This window comes from Homo sapiens, chromosome 19, assembly GCF_000001405.40.
Source record: "Homo sapiens chromosome 19, GRCh38.p14 Primary Assembly".
NCBI classification, from domain to species: domain Eukaryota; kingdom Metazoa; phylum Chordata; class Mammalia; order Primates; family Hominidae; genus Homo; species Homo sapiens.
Window position 1 is genome coordinate 12,373,806 of NC_000019.10, and position 13,206 is coordinate 12,387,011.

Below are 13,206 nucleotides of genomic sequence, written 5' to 3' on the forward strand. Positions count from 1 at the left end.
AACATTTTTTAAAAACCTTCAAAAAAAAAAAAAGAAATTAGCCCTATTCCTCAGAAATTTATATATTTTTGCAAGAAATGTGATTTTAATTCAATAGCATACAGTACATGTTATTGTAAATGCAGTATACATTTACTCCATAAGTAGGAAATTCACTCCTTCCCAAGTTTTAATGGTTTTCTAATACTTTTAAATGTTTTGTCTTTAGTTTCCCAACCAAATATGGCTATCATCTCTAAACACAATAATTTTTTTTCCATCCTAGTTTTTATATTGTTTATTGATTTTTGACAATAAGTTTTATAGACTACTGTAATAGTGAGAGGAATGAAATAGAACTATTTTATTTATTTATTTTTTTTTTTGAGACATGGTCTCACTCTGTTGCCCAGGTTGGAGTAAAGTGTTGCAATCATGACTCTATAGCCTTGACCTCCTGGGCTCAAGTAATCCTCCCGCCTCAGCTACCTGGGTAGTTGGGATTACAGGTTAAAAACACCATGCCTAGTTAATTTTAAAATTTTTTCTAGAGATGGGGTGTCACTATGTTGCCCAGGCTGGTCTTGAATTCCTGGGCTCAAGTCATCATCCTGCTTTGGCCTTCCAAGGTGCTGGGATTACAGGCATGAGCCACTGTGCCTGGCTATGTTTCCTTTTGTTAGCTTATGATCCTCCTTTTCAGTGGGAAGCCTGTCACACAACAGTTTCTCATCATGCTGTGCTCTGAAACATACCTTAACCAAGAATCCTACATCAAGGAAAGCTCATGTTTAAAATGAAAGACAAAACAAAGTCTTTTTCAAGAATAAAAACATACATATTGAGACGATTTGTTCCTACCACACCAGACCTACAAGAAAGATGAAAGAAAGTCCTTATGTCTGAAACCAAAGGATGGCAAAATCCGCAAGAAAAGAGAGAGAGCACCATTAAAGATCATTATATGAATATAATATCCAGACTAAATGTATATTTCCTCACCTTTCTTCTCCTCATGGATTTACAAAGCAACTGTGTAAAATAATAACTAGTTGGTGAATTCTTGGGCCTAGAACACATAAAAATGTAATGTATGTTTTATATTCACAAATAACACTGTAAAAACCTGAGTTAACTAAATGACTACCAAGGGGAAAGCAATAATTATAAGAAAGTACTGTTGGATGTGCAACCCTAAGAGTTGTTACACATGAAACGAAACACCCCAGAAAGGCAAACATATAATAGAGCTATACAGGATAAATATGTTTTTGTTTTTGTTTTTTTTTGAGATGGAGTTTTGCTCTTCTTTCCCAGGCTGGAGTGCAATGATGCGATCTCAGCTCACCGCAACCTCTGCCTCCTGGGTTCAAGCAATTCTCCTGCCTCAGCCTCCCAAGTAGCTGGGATTACAGGCATGCGCCATCAAGCCCAGCTAATTTTTGTATTTTTAGTAGAGACGGGGTATTACCATGTTGGTCAGGCTGGTCCCGAACTCCTGACCTCTGATGATCCACCCGCCTCGGCCTCCAAAAGTGCTGGGATTACAGGCGTGAGCCACCGCGTCTGGTGGATAAATATGTTTTTTACATCACTGGAATTTATCCATAAATCACTGGAAAACTGCCCAATTGTGATATTATCATTTACATGATAAACATTCGATTAATCACTACAAAATCTCACAACAAGTATAACAAAAAATAGATCATCCCCTACATCGCGAAGACATATTATGTGAAATCAGAATTTACTGTCCTTCCTTAGTTAAACATTGACTCTACATCCATTCCATAAGATCATGGCCCCAAGATTTCCTGCATTCATCCAACTTGGAAATTTCCATGTTATATCACTTATTTCTTTTTCTTTTTTTTTTTTTGAGACGAAGTCTTGCTCTTGTCGCCCAGGCTGGAGTGCAATGGTGTGATCTCAGCTCACTGCAACCTCTGCCTCCCAGGTTAAAGCAATTCTCCTGCCTCAGCCTCTCGAGTAGCTGGGATTACAGACACCTGCCACGACGCCCGGCTAATTTTTGAATTTTTAGTAGGGATGGGGTTTCACCATGTTGGTCAGGCTGGTCTCAAACTCCTGACCTCAGGCGATCCGCCCACCTCAGCCTCCCAAAGTGCTGGGATTACAGGCATGAGCCACCGTGCCTGGCCCAAACTTTTTATTAGCATAGATTTGCAGTTAAGTTTTGAAATCCAGAAGTTAGAGCCTACTAACCTAGTTCTTGTTTTTCAAGACTGTTTTGTCTATTCAGAGGCCCTTGAGATGCCAAATGTAAAAAATGAAAAAATGGGGAAAAATGGTTCCTAGAAATAAATCAAGAGGTCAAAACTATAACTAAAAGGACAGCAGAGAGTAAAAAGTGCTATTATTCAATGAGAAGTAAGAATCTTAGATTCTTAGAAAAGGGGCATTTAACTTTGGAAAGTAGGCTCAGTAAGAACAAACTAAGCATTCGCACACAAAAACAGAAAAACAGAAAGAAAATGAAGTTCCTGGAAGTGTTAGAGCTGCTCCTATAATGGTGAAAATGATCCTTCTGGATCATGATAAACTGAATATAAGGAATGAGAAAGCATTAAGAGTGTGGCTAGAGGACATGTCACAGAACCACATCTCTATTGATAGTAAAATGATACATGAAAAAAATTAGCCTCTGTAAGCACCACAGTGAGACAGTTGAGAAGAGCGAGAGGAAGGAGTTTCAGGCCCATGAAATCTAGCTGGGTCAGCTAGGTAAAGCACTACAGACACGAGAACTTAAGGACCACAGGAGAATTGCCACTGGGTGGTGACAAGGTGGGAGGATCTCTTGAGCCCAGGAGTTCAACACCAGCCTGGGTAACAGCAAGACTCCATCTCTACAAAAAAATTTAAAATTAGCTGGGTGTGGTGATATGCACCTGTAGTCCTAGCTACTCAGGAGATTGAGGTAGGAGGACTGCTTGACCTGAAGAGTTGAGGCTGCAGTGAGCTATGATCATGCCACTACACTCCAGCCTGGGCAACAGAGCGAGATCATGTCTCTTTAAAAAAAAAAAACCCAAGGCGCGGTGCCCCGTGGCTCATGCTGGTAATTCCAGCACTTTGGGAGGCCGAGGCGGGCAGATCACGAGGTCAGGAGATCGAGACCATCCTGCCTAACATGGTGAAACCCCGTCTCTACTAAAAATACAAAAAAAAATTAGCCGGGCATGGTGGCGGGCGCCTGTAGTCCCAGCTACTCAGGAGGCTGAGGCAGGAGAATGGCGTGAACCTGGGAGGCGGAGGTTGCAGTGAGCCGAGATCGCGCCACTGCAATGCAGCCTGGGTGACAGAGCGACACTCCGTCTCAAAAAAAAAAAAAAAAAAATCCCAAAAGAGTTAATGAAACTCATAAAAAACAGACTACCTTCCAGAGCAAGTCCTCCATCATAATGAATTGGGCATGTTCTGAAAGATGATGCCCAATAGTCCCTTCATCCAAAAGAGTGTGAACCAGGGCGCGGTGGCTCACGCCTGTAATCTCAGCACTTTGGGAGGCCAAGTCGGGTAGATACCTGAGGTCAGGAGTTCAAGACCAGCCTGGCCAACATGGTGAAACCCCATCTCTACAAAAATACAAAAATTAGCCAGACGTGGTGGCAGGCGCCTGTAATCCCAGCTACTCGGGAGGCTGAGGCGGAAGTTGCAGTGAGCCGAGATTGTGCCATTGCACTCCAGCTTGGGTGACAGAGCAAGACTCCATCTCAAAAAACAAACAAACAAACAGTGTCAAGCAATCCCTGGGGTTCAAGACCAGGAAAGATCACCTTACTCTGGTGCTATGTGGCAATGCATCGGGTCACAAGAATAAGCCAGCCTTATCTACTGAGCAAACAATCACTAGATTCTCTAAAACAAAAGCAAAACTTTGTTGCCTGTGTGCCAGCAAGAACACAAGAAGACTTGAATCTACCAATGCTTCATTCCTGAAGTGAAAAACTACCTTGAAGAAAAGGGAATGCCACTCAAGAGCCTCCTCATAATTGACAATGCTCCTGGCCATCTCTTTATGCTGATAAAAAATGTGGAGGTGATGTTCCTGCCTCCTAAAACTACATCACTGCTACAACCACTTAATCAAGGCATCAGGAAGATTAAGGTGACTTTCACCTTTCTCACCTGTAGGCGGATTCATGTTGTCTTTTAATTTTTTTAGAGATGGAATCTATGTTGCTCAGGCTGGTCTCAAACTCCTGGGCTCAAGAGATTCTCTTGCCTTGGCCTCCCAAAGCACTGGGATTACAGGGGTAAGCCACTGCTCCTGGCCCAAACTCATGTTGTCCTGATGCTACCCATGACTGTACCATAGTGGATTTATGGAAAGAGCTTCACAACTGCAGATGCCATTGTGCATATGACAGAGGGTGTAGATGTCCTAAAGGTCAAGACAGCCAAAGCATGCTGGAAGCCATTATGGAGTGTGGGAGTCAACGATTTCAGGGTCTTCTCGGGTATTGATACGGTAGGCAGGAATATCCCAAATGTTACAAGGCAAGTTGGTGGGGAAGATTATCTCTGACTGGACTGAAGACAATGTTGAGGAAAGCATAGAAGAGCATACAGAAATCCTTACTAACAAGGAACTCGAAGATATGCTGAAATCCTCTCCAGATAAGGACGATGATGATGCCGAACACGTAGAAGAGGTTGTCCAGAGATGTGGACACTTGAAAAATTTGCAGCAGTTTTTGGGGCATCTACAGCCTCTGCAAGGTGCAAGTATTAAAGATTACCATCCTCAAGTCAGATCCTTCCATGGAAGAAAGCCTCCATTTCACCTGAGGGATAACATGCCAACAAACACTGCAAGGATTTTTTGATGATTTAAAGGAAAAGAAGAACCGGCTTTCTACAACGCTGTTTCTAACTAAATATCTGCAAATATGAAGACAGACCCTTCAATGCTTACAGATCTTTGGCCCTCAAATTGAACAGATCCTGACATTAGTACTATTTAGCCTCCTCCAAGTGTCAACATCTGCAATCAGAACCTGGTTCTTCCAACACAAATGATTGTCCAGACATCCTGTCAAGATTCAAGTTAGCCTGATGTCTCACTGCTTATCTATTATGCCACACATCTAGTCACCTCTACACGTAATATTAGTCACCATACAGCAATCAGCATTATCATAATCATTATACTTGGGTAATCAAGCAAGAAGGATTAGAATTTTGGTATTAACATGCTCTTGAAGAAAATTAAACAAAAGCAATCTGCCAGTGTTGAACAACAACAACAAAAAAAACTATAATGTTATAGGTGACATGTACTATGCAGGTAGGCCTGCAATGGTTGGGTCTGTCCAGAACATGTATAGACTTCTATCATGATTCCCTAAATAATACAATAAAACAACTATTTACATAGTTTTTACAATGCATGAGGTATTTAATCCAGAGATGACTTAGAGTGTACAGGGAGATGTGGGTAGATAACATGCAAATATGTAATTTTATAAAAGAAACTTGGCATGTGTGGATTTAGGTATGATCAGGGACTGCTGGAATTAATCCCCTGCATATGTCAGGGGAAAACTGTATTTGAAATAAACTGAAATCACTTAAGCCTTCACCACATGGTTTACATTCATAGAGTTTATTTCTTTTTCTTTTTTTTTATTTTTTTTGAGATGGAGTCTCACTCTGTTGCCAGGCTGGAGTGCAGTGGCGCCATCTCAGCTCACTGCAATCTCCGTCTCCTGTGTTCGAGCCATTCCCCTGCCTCAGCCTCCAGAGTAGCTGGGACTACAGGTGCGCACCACCATGCCTGGCTAAGTTTTTGTATTTTAGTAGAGACAGGGTTTCACCATGTTGGCCAGGATGGTCTTGATCTCCTGACCTCGTGATCCGCCCACCTCGGCCTCCCAAAGTGTTAGGGATTACAGGCATGAGCCACCGTGCCCAAGCCATAGAGTTTATTTCCAATGTGATTTGTTTAATTTTCTCAGGTAAAATAAAATTAATGAATGCTTTCCCACATTCCACACATTTATAGAGTATCTTTCCAATGAGTCCTTTTGTGTCTGTGCAAGGAGCTGAGAGAACTCAATGCTTTTCCACATTCCTTACATTCACATAGCTTCTTTGCGGTATGAGTTCTTTCATGTCCTTGAAGGAAACGGGAATGAGTGAAGGCTTTACCACATTGTTTACCTTCATAAGGTTTCTCTCGAGTGTGAATTCTTTCATGTTGTAGAAGGCAAGTGAGCCAAGAGAATGCTTTCCTGCATTCCTTACATTCATACGGCTTCTCTCCAGTGTGAATCCTTTCATGTTGCTTTAAGTGACCAAAATGACTGAAGGCTTTTCTACATGTTTGACACTCATAAGGTTTTTCTGCTGTATGATTTTTTTATGAAGAGAAAGGTACTGGAAACAACCAAATGCTTTCCCACATTATTTACATTCATATGGCTTCTCTCCCATATGAGTTGTCTCATGATTTTGAAGGGAATAAAGATCACTAAAGGCTTTCCCACATTTACATTTATAGATTTTCTCCCTAGTGTGAGTCCTTTCATGTCTTTGAAATCCAATGAAATAAACAAAGGCTTTCCCACATATCTTGCATTTTGTGAGGTCCATCTCCAGTGTGCATTGTCATGTGTCTTCGAAAGCTTGAGCTATGAGATAACGCTTTCCCACACTGCTTGCATTCATAGAGTTTCTTCTCTCCAGTGTGAGTTCTTTCATGACTTTGCAGTGTACTGGAACAATCAAAGCCTTTCCCACATATCTTACATTTATGAGGTCCATCTCTAGTGTGCCTTATCATGTGTCTTTGGAAGCTTCCCAGATGATCAAATGCTTTCCCACATTGCTTACATTCATGGGGTTTCTCTGCACTGTGAGTGGTTTCACGTCTTTGAAGGGAAGTGGAAGCACTGAAGGCTTTCCCACATTGTTTACATGTACAGAGTTTCTCTCCAGTGTGAGTTTTTTCATGTCTTAGACAAGAACTGTAATCAGGGAAGGCTTTAGAACACTGCTTACATTCATACAGTTTCTCCCCAGTACGTGTTCTTTCATGTCTTAGATAAGAACTGTAAAAATGAAAGGCTTTAGAACACTGCTTACATTCATATAGTTTCTCTCCAGAGTGAGTTCTTTCATGCATACGAAATAAACTGGGCCAGAAAAATGCTTTCCCACACAACTTACATTTATAAGGTCCATCTCCATGCTGCACTGCCATGTGTCTTTGAAGGTTTCCCAAAGAATTGAAGGACTTCCTACATTCCTTACAATCATATGGTTTGTGTCCTGTGTGAGAAATTTTGTGGGTTTGAAACGAGTGGCAATAACTGAAGGTTTTCCAAAATTGTTTACGTGTATTACGCTTCTCTCCATATTCCTGATACTCATGTGGTTTGTGCCCAGCATCAACTCTGATGTGGCAATGAAGGGATGAAAGACCCGTGACGACTTCTCCACTCATTGTTTTCACGTGGACCTACTCCAGGAGGCATGTGCTTGTTCACAACAGTATCTCCAATCTGGCTAGATGTTTCTCCACAATGACTACTGTCTTTACTTTCACCGAAGCGCTCTACCATATCGCATCTGTAAAAAATGGGAAGTATATTACTAAAGGTTTGTTTATAAATGATTTTATATGTATTAATAGGTATTAGATGTACTTTTTTTTTTTTTGAGATGGAGTTTCACTCTTGTTGCCCTGACTGGAGTGCAATGGTGTGATCTTGGCTCACCGCAACCTCCACCTCCCAGGTTCAAGCAATTGTCCTGCCTCAGACTCCCAAGTAGCTGGGATTACAGGTATGTGCCACCACGCCAGGCTAATTTTGTATTTTTAGTAAAGACGGAGTTTCTCCATGTTGGTCAGGCTGGTCTCGAACTCCTGACCTCAGGTGATCTGCCCAACTCGGCCTCCCAGAGTGCTGGGATTACAGGTGTGAGCCACTGTGCCCAGCCTAGATGTACATTTTTAACATTATCATGCAAAGCACAGGCTTCAGGTGACGCCTGCTTAAATGTGAATGCACTGAATGTTGTGCAAGATAACTTGACCCCAAGTGCTTTCTCAATGATGATATTCGTATGGGGATTCTTTTTCTTTTTTTTTTTTTGAGACAGAGTCTCGCTCTATCGCCCAGGCTGGAGTGCAGTGATGCCATCTCTGCTCACTGCAACCTCTGTCTCCCAGGTTCAAGCGATTCTCCTGCCTCAGCCTCCCAAGCAGCTGGGACTACAGGCACACACCACCATGCCCAGCTATTTTTTGTATTTTTAGTAGAAACAGGGTTTCACCATGTTGGCCAGGCTGGTCTCAATCTCTTGACCTCGTGATCTGCCCACCTCAGCCTCCCAAAGTGCTGGGATTACAGGTGTGAGCCACCACGCCTGGCCAAAGGTTTGTTTATAAATGATTTTACATGTATTAATAGGTATTAGATGTACATTTTTAACATTATCATGCAAAGCACAGGCTTCATGTGAAGCCTGCTTGAACGTGAATGGACTGAATGCTATGCAAGGTAACTAAATGGCAGGTGCTTTCCCAATAATAATATTCATATGGGGATTCTTAACATTGCTTCCATGGAACTTATTATGCAAACACTTGAATAGCTATGAAACCATTAAGTATATGCTTTTGGAGAAAATTTTCTAAGAATAAATAAATTTAAGCTGGGTTTGTTCATTTTCTTTGCTTCTTTGTAAAATTTCCTATCATTTGAAGAATGACTCCAGAGGCATATCTTTCTCTTGTGATTGCAAATTACCTTACATTTATCCTGTGACTTTCGTATTGATCTTCCCTGATCTGGTCTTCTCATTTCATTCCTAAAGGGTAGACCCAGAAAAAATTTTTACAAAATTATAGAAAAACTGTAAGATATTATATATAGTGCAATCATGCAGGATTCATTCACCAAACTACAGTGGACTCTTGTAAACAGTTTTGAATTGCTCAAGTCCATTTATATGCAAAATTTCTTCAGTTTCTGCTATCCCTGAGATAGCAAGACCAGTCTCTCTTACTCAGCCTACTCAATGTGAAGACAATAAGGATGAGAACCTTTATGAACATCTACTTCCACTTAATGAATAGTAACTACAGTTTCTCTTCCTTATGATCTTCGTATCACCATTTTGTTTTCTTTTCTTTTCTTTTCTTTTTTTTTTTTTTTGAGACAGAGTCTCGCTCTGTCACCCAGGCTGGAGTACAGTGGTGCGATCTGGGCTCACTGCAAACTCCGCCTACCAGGTTAAACGAATTATTGTGCCTCAGCCTCCCAAGTAGCTGAGATTACAGGCACGTGCCACCATGCCCAGCTTATTTTTTTGTATTTTTAGTAGAGATGGGGTTTCGCCATGTTCGCTGGGCTGGTCTTGAACTCCTGGCCTCAAGTGATCCGCCTGCCTCAGCCTCCCAAATGCTATAGGCATGAGCCACCGTGCCTGGCCCATATTGCCATTTTCTTTCTTTAGCTTATGTCATTGTGAGAAATATATAACATATATGACATACAGTGTATGTATTAATCAACTGCTTATGTGACCGATAAGGGTGCCAGTGAACATTAGGTTAAACTGTGGTGGAAAAAAGTTATATCAGGATGTACAATTGCTTGGGGGGCTGACACCCCTAAACCCTGTGTTATTCCATGGTCAACCAGACCCCCTTTCCATATTCCAAATCTTCAACAGCATTGCACATCAAGAAGCAAATGTCCCTAATTGACTAAGTGGAGATACGACATCATCCTTACCTACACAGTCCAGGTTCCTGATGGTTTCCTGCATCACATCTTCGTAGAGATTCTTCTGGCAAGGACCCAGCAAAGCCCACTCTTCCTGGGTGAAGTTCACAGCCACATCCTCAAAGGCAACTGAGTCCTGAAACATCCCACATATGTAGATGAGGGAAGCAGAGACTGACAGTACTGAGAATCTACACTTACCTCTTAAATTTCCAGGGTGCGTGGTTTCCTTCTTTTTTTTTTAGGTGGAGTCTCACTCTGTCGCCCAGGCTGGAGTGGAGTGGCGCTATCTTGGCTCACTGCAAGCTCCGCCTCCCGAGTTCACGCCATTCTCCTGCCTCAGCCTCTCGAGTAGCTGGGACTACAGGGCCTGCCACCACGCCCAGCTAATTTTTTGTATTTTTAGTAGAGACGGGATTTCACCATGTTAGCCAGGATGGTCTCGATCTCCTGACCTTGTGATCCACCTGCCTCAGCCTCCAAAAGTGCTGGGATTACAGGTGTGAGCCACTGCACCTGGCTAGGGTGTGTGGTTTCTAAGCGTGACATGGTAAATCCACTTTCATTTTCTGTCTACACTCACTGTCTCCCACATGGCAATTCTGATGCTACAATTAAATGTTTGCTAAGGCAACAATTGAATTGGGACGGGTCTCCTGTTGGTAAGTGAAGTCAGTATTATTACATGGACCTTCATGGCTATTTCTACAGTGGATCTGCAGTTCTTATCAGGACAAAGTCCTACTCTTTATTGTGCAAAAGAGTTAACATTAGCAGTCCTGAGACTACATATCCTCACAAATGCTTGTTTACAATGTTGGACCTTTTATGGTGTCTAGGCACTGGATTTAGGGAGGGTCCCCACCAATGTGGCTAGTAAAAGGGACTGAGTGTACCTAAACTATTTATGCAAAATAATAAGGCATTTGCTTAGTTCCTATATTCCTCTGAGAACTGGAATTCTATTTCATGCTCAGCAGAGGAAGTGCACCTGATCAGCCACTGCTAGGTTTGAATGTCTGTCCCCTCCAAAACACATGTTGAAAGTTAATCTCCAATGTGAAAGTAATAAAAGGTGGGGCTTTAAGAGGTGATTGGGTCCTGAGGGTTTGGACTTCATAAACAGATTAATCCATAATGGCTGAGTGAATAAATGGGTTATCTCAGGAGTAACACTGTGGTCATGTCATGAGAGGAAGAAAAGATCTGAGCTAGAGGCTCAATCCCCTCACTATGTGATACTCTGTGCTACCTAGGGACTCTGTAGAGTCCCCACCAGCAGGAAGGTTCTCACCAGATTCCCAGCCTTGACCTGAGACTTCACAGTCTCCAGAACTGTAAAAACTAAGTATGATTTCTTATCAATTGCCCAGGTTCACTTATTCTGTTATAAGCAAAAAAAACAAGAGAAAGACAGTCATGAGGAAACACTCTGAGCACTGAGTCTAATGAACACCCCTGGTAGATTACATTTCATATTCTTTGTTGCAACTTGTGATTAGGGGGATCTGGCCCAGCCTATGTGCGATTACAGTAAGAGAATATTTGGAAGCTGGCAACTGGTTTCCACTAGATCAAATGCAGTAAAGTAGGACAAAAGACTAATAAAATATACTTCACAATCCCAAGGGAAAAATCTTAAACTTATTATTAGGTAATGTCAAAAGAGAAGGAAAGAAACGGTGGATTGCACATGTTCTTAGAAATAACTCAAAGTCATCTCTTATGAATATGTATAATATTCCATAAATCCCTAAAGCAGACCTTTAGTAGTCAACAAAAATGACATTACCAAATCTAAGTCAAAAATGTCTAAAAATGCTTAAAACTTCTCATTAAATGACAGCATTATAAAAACAGATAAAGGATTCTTAAGTTATAATATTCAGCACCCCATAAAATTAACAGAAAGATAAAGATAAATAAAAATAAAAGTGAAAATGGAAGGAAAGCCTTGTGGAGTTTCTGTTTGTCCTAGGCCCAATCCCTCCCCACCTCAGTGCCAGTCTCTCTCTCTCTCTATATATATACACACACACACACACACACATATACACATATACACACACATATATATACACATATATATACACATATATATACACATATACACACACACATATATATATATATAATTTTTTTTTTTTTTTTTTGGAGACAGAGTCTCACTCTGTCGCCGAGGCGGGAGTGCAGTGGTGCGATCTCGGCTCACTGCAAGCACTGTCTCCCAGGTTCACGCAATTCTCCTGCCTCAGCCTCCCCAGTAGCTGGGACTACAGGCACTCGCCACCATGCCCGGCTAATTTTTTGTATTTTTAGTAGAGATGGGGTTTCACTGTGTTAGCCAGGATGGTCTCGATCTCCTGCCCTCGTGATCCACCCGCCTCGGCCTCCCAAAGTGCTGGGATTACAGGCATGACCCACCATGCCCAGCCATTAACCTCAATTCTTTTTTTACATATATTTTACTTTGTTTCAGAGACAGGGTCTCGCTCTGTCTCCAGCCCAGGCTGGAGTGCAGTGGCATGACCTAGCTCACTGCAGCCTCGAACTCCTGGGCTCAAGTAATCTGGTGATCTCAGCATCCCTAGTAGCTATGACTACAGGCATATACCACCAAGCCTAGCTAAATTTTCCTTTTTTCTTTTTTTTTTTTTTTTTTTTTTGCATAGATGAGGTCTCACCATGTTGCTCAGACTCGTCTTGAAATCCAGGCCTTGGTTGGGCATGGTGGCACACACCTGAAGTCCCAGCTACTTGGGAGGCTGAGGCAGGAGGATCTGTTGAGCCTAGGAGTTGGAGATGGCAATGAGCTATAATCACACCACTGTACTCCAGCCTGGGCAACAAATTGAGACCCCCATTTCCAGGAAGGAAGGGAAAGGAGAGGAGGGCAGGGGAGGAAGAAGAGAAGAGAACGGAAGGGAAAGGGGAAGGGGAAGGGAAAGGGGAAGGGAAAGGGGAAGGGGAAGGGGAAGGGGAAGGGGAAGGGGAAGAAGGAAAATCCAAGCCTCAAGCAATCCTCCCACCTTGGCCATTCAAAGTGCTGCCATAACAGGCATGAGCGACCATGCACATTCCACTTTCATTTTTGAGGATCCACTCTCATAATCTAACCTAATCCTTATCATGTCTCAAAAAAACCATTGCCTAATACTGCCACATCAGGGAAGTGGAAAAATAAATAAAATTTTATAAGGACATAAACATTTATTCCACAATAAGTGATTTATTAGTAGCTTTTTATCATTTTCTAAATACTCATGTTAATCCCTTATCAGATATATAATTTGGAAATGGTTTCTCCCATTCTATGGGTTACTCATTTACTCTGTTAATATTGCATTTTGATGCCAAAGGTCCACAAACTCCAAATTATTTTTTTCCCTTGTGGGTCATGCTTTTGGTGCCAAATCTAGGAAATCACTGCCAAATTCACTGTAATACAGCTTTTGCCATG